We start from the raw sequence: 4,552 nt of genomic DNA, 5'->3' as shown, positions 1-4,552 counted from the left end.
ATAGGGGTGAGAAATGGGGAGAGAAACCTGTTATCTCAAAATATTAGCCTCTTTTGTAAACATGCAGTAGGATATTTTAAATGAGAACCTCTGGGCATGGGGTCTGGGATAATCATTTTAGCAAATTTTTCAGTTTGGCCCTGATCTCAGAGGGACCCCAGAGGATTTTTTTTTATTTTTTTGAGACAGAGCCTCGCTCTTGTCGCCCAGGGTGGAGTGCAGTGGTGCGATTTCAGCTCACTGCAACCTCCGCCTCCTGGGTTCAAGCAATTCTCCTGCCCCAGCCTCCCAAGTAGCTGGGACTACAAGCACCCAGCACCACACCCAGCAAATTTTTGTGTTTTTAGTAGAGATGGGGTTTCACCATGTTGGCCAGGCTGGTCTCGAACTCCTGACCTCAGGTGATCTGCCCGCCTTGGCCTCCCGAAGTGCTGGGATTACAGGCTTGAGCCACCACGCCCAGCCACTCCAGAGGATTTTGAGGAGGCTGGGAATGACCTGATAGGTGTCATAATGATGTAAATACCTGGAATCTTAGATTAGAAATAAAAATATACAAATATAAAAATATTCTGATTTATCAGAATGTATGTGATAGAAAATCAAGGCACCTTCTGCAAAGTGTTTTGACTTTCTATCTTCTTTCTGTGCTTTTCGCTAGATTTCTAGCTTTTCCCCTGTATATTTAGTCTAATTTACCTTATGTTCCACTTCTCCTTCTCTTAGATGAGGGGACTGGTTTGAATGGAGTGAAAAAATTAGTAATTATTGGGTATCTATGATGTTCCTGAAACTTTATATGATCTCAGCTAATCTGTACAACATTCAATTCATTCTCATAAAGGTTAAATAAATTGCTCAAGATTGCACAGGTAGCAGATGACAGAGCAAAGATTAAAATCCAACCTATCTGATATCAAAGTCGGGCTTTAATTACTTTACTTTGCTACTTTCCTTGACAGAGGGTTTAGTGATACCCCTTGATTCCCTCATTACCAACATTTCCTCTACTTCACAGCCATATGGATGGCCTAATCCTCATTCTTCCTTTCCCCATACTAATTATCAGATTCCACCTGTAAAGGAAATTTTATGTATGGTATTGTCTTTTCTGTTTTAGATTTCTGATAACAATACCATTTTTTATATACGCTTTGTAAAGTCCTCTATAGAGTTGTGATTCAAGGCGTTGTAACACTGACATGGATTTGAAGCTCAGTCTCACAGTTGTGTGAGCAAGTTAACTTCTGAGATCCTCACATTGCTTTTTCTGGTTGCTGTATCAGGACCCATTTTGTAATATTTAATTCAATATATTTTAATGATTTCAATATACATTACTTTTTTCTCTTAAACAAATTTCTTTAGGCCTAAAGTATCTAGAGTTCCCTTTTATGTGGGATTATCTTTCTTAATAATATTTTGGTTCAGAGTGGCTGAATTGGTAAGAGAAGACATAGGATAGATACACGAGAAGTGAGTGGGAGGACAAGAGTTTCCAGAGAGAGGAAAAGGGACAGAGAAGGTTGTTATCCATTTTTGGCCTGCTTTCAGGTTTCCTGGGGTTTGGAATTCTCTAGCTCATGGCCCCACTTCTTTCCTGGTCTCAGGTCAGTGCAGCTGGCTGCATCCCAAGGACTTTTTTGTCTATGCAGCCTGCTGTGCTGATGCCCTTGCCTTTTTCTTTCTCTACATCTCTGGAAAGTCTCTGTGTACACATGCACTTCTTGGAATATTCAAGGGCTACATTTTAAAATAAATTACTTATCAAAAGCATTTTTCCCATAACAAGTGAAGAAAAGCATGGATACACTTATTTCTTTGAACACATTAAATCTGTATATAGTGGAGGTGATATTCATGTAAAAACTTCCTCTGGAGCCCCCTGTGCTGGATGGTATGGATTGTGCAGTGGCAGAATTTAAACTTCCAGTTAAAATTATCTCAGTCTTTTCTGGCTTAAAACAGTCCTATCAAATATAACTACTCAGACATCTCAAAGTACAGCTTTCTTTGAGAATTCCTTCTTCTATTCTGCTTGAAAGATAACATCTGAATTCAAGAGGGCATATAGGTCTTCTCGGTCATAGGAGGAGTAGGCTTGATCTCAAATGGGCTTTAGGTTCTCCCTGGCTTCTGGGAAATGTTCTTTGTCCCTCATAGTCAACTAGGCACCCTTCTGGAATCACCTGCTAAAGTCTGCATCTGATGAAACTTGTGGTGGGGCCTCTTGGCATGGCCAGTGAACAGGGATCCTCCACTTACAGAACTGCCTCCCCCTTAAGTCTTGGCAGCATTACCAATCCTCAGCAGTTTCAACAATGATGCCACCACATTTCTCATCCCCCTTAGCTGGCCATCTGGCTCTTAACTCATTTACTTCACATGAGAATTTCTAAATCTCTTACAAACCTCACAAGAGAAAGACTCAGCAGGTGCTATTCCTGGTCTTTTCTTTGTGCCTAATGGGCACATGACAGATTCTAATCTCCTGGACATCCTTTGTTAATGACAGGCAATGTAGGTGATGATCATGCCAGAATCCTAAATGAGAAAGGAAATAAACTTTTTATTTTCCTCTCTGCTTACTTGTATATCTTAATATGTATTCCTCCCTTGAAACAAACATTTGAGTGCAAGTAGCTTATCTGGGAGATAATCTGTGGAAACACTGGTAAGGGAGTGGGGAAGTGAGATGAGGAAGGAAAGAAAGCCAACAATGAGTGCATTACTAAATAAATTATGATGTGCTTTAATAAAGGAAGTATCCTCTTAGCCCTCCTGTGGAATATGACTGGTGGGTTCTCTTGTCATATGTAATAATATGAGATTTTGGCCCCATCATCAATACTCTACCAAGGCAATTCTAGCAATTCTACCTCATTTATTGTAGGCCATTATCATCTTCATGCTTCAAGGACTATCCCAGCAGCAAGATAAGATTGGCTCAAAGCATCTTTGCTCCCAGGGTCCTGATCATGGAAGAGTGTCTATAGATCAACACACTCTCTTAAACAGCTTTATATCTGCCCCTTGCTACTCTATGCCCACAGATTCATTTTGGTCATGATCTGAATACAAGTTTGTCAGCTTCTATGGTTTTTTTTTTTTTTTTTTTGAGACGGAGTCTCACACTGTCGCCTGGGCTGGAGTGCAATGGCACAATCTTGGCTCACTGCAACCTTCTCCTTCTGAGTTCATGCAATTCTCCTGCCTCAGCCTCCTGAGTAGCTGGGATTAGAGGTGCACACCACCACACCCAGCTAATTTTTTGTATTTTTAGTAGAGACGGGGTTTCACCATGTTGGCCAGACTAGACTTGAACTCCTGACCTCGTGATCCACCCACCTCAACCTCCCAAAGTGCTGGGATTACAGGCGTGAGCCACCACACCCGGCCTCAGCTTCCATGGTTTTGGGGGTAATCTTTTTCTTTTATACCAGATATAGTACTTCCCTAGTCAGGGTTAGGTTGAAAGTTATTTCTGATTGTTGATCTAAGGCAGTGGTTCTCAAAGCACAGTCTCTGGACCAGGAGTACTGCCTGGGAATTTGTTAGAAATGCAAATTCCAAGTCCTATCCCAAGCCTACTGAATCAGAAAATCTAGGGATGAGGACTCAGTAACCCATGATTTAACTAGCCCTCCAGGCGATACAGATCCATGTTATAGTTTGAGAAACACTTATCTAGAAGCCATGAGCAGAAATGGGAGCAGATCTTCAGAAGGTCAGATATCATCTTGTGGGGCACCTGCCTCAGATGGGGCCTTTTCATGGTCTCCAGGTAAGGAAAGGCTGTTCTCTGCCCAAGAGCCAAAAGTTGCTTCTGCTAACTAAAAAGTGTTGGGAGATTTAGTGGTGTAATATATTCATGTGTATATACTCAGATATTCTTATTTTAAATTTTAGTTTTCTATTTTTCTTATCAGGGCCAGGACTGTAACATAGGGAATCGCTAATGGATTGTACAGTTAGCCTTATTTGTAACTTTTACTTTCCCAGTAAAATCCATAGCCTAATTTTAGCAGAGTCTGTCCTCTGGCTGCTGGAGATAAGGGTCTCTTTAAGTACTGTCACACCAGACCAGTGGTTTCCACACTGTGTTCTGAGTTGATAGTTGAGTGATCTGACTTTGTGATTTACTCTTATCTTCCTTTGCCACTTTTATGGCACAAGAACACACAAACACCTCCACAGATCTTATTTTTTCCTTTACTCTCAAACCCTTGAGATGTTGCACATACCACATATCCTCTTTCACCTGTAGTTCATCCCAATTCACCATAAGTAAGGCTTTTTGTGTTGCTAGGGTACTACAAAAGCTATCACCTTTCCGTTGTTGCCTTACTTTGGTTTCCTCCAGAAAAATATTCTAAAATAAAGATTCAATTGCAAGTAGATTTAGCAACTCTTATCTCATTTTCCAGATGATGTCACATGGCCTAATTGTGCTGGTGATCATTCAAGTGAGAATTTAGTTTTCCTACCTGCTACCACGTGAAGCAGCAAGAGCAAATGAGGATAGGAGTGAATATTGGCTCAGCCAAATAAC

The 4,552-nt window shown here is 40.9% G+C and overlaps 1 annotated feature.

Annotated features, from left to right (window-relative positions):
• Window positions 3,874-4,294: a transcriptional cis regulatory region, noted in NCBI's record as "candidate enhancer chr4.2004 targeted for multiplex CRISPR interference". NCBI's record gives its function as "positively regulates ANTXR2 gene expression with high confidence in K562 cells {active_cell/tissue: K562}" and the evidence as "EXISTENCE:mutant phenotype evidence [ECO:0000015][PMID:30612741]".

The sequence above is a fragment of the Homo sapiens genome, chromosome 4, assembly GCF_000001405.40.
Source record: "Homo sapiens chromosome 4, GRCh38.p14 Primary Assembly".
Taxonomy (NCBI): Eukaryota; Metazoa; Chordata; class Mammalia; order Primates; family Hominidae; genus Homo; species Homo sapiens.
The sequence above is the reverse complement of the archived record's forward strand: the minus strand, read 5'-3'. Positions and strand labels throughout refer to the sequence as shown.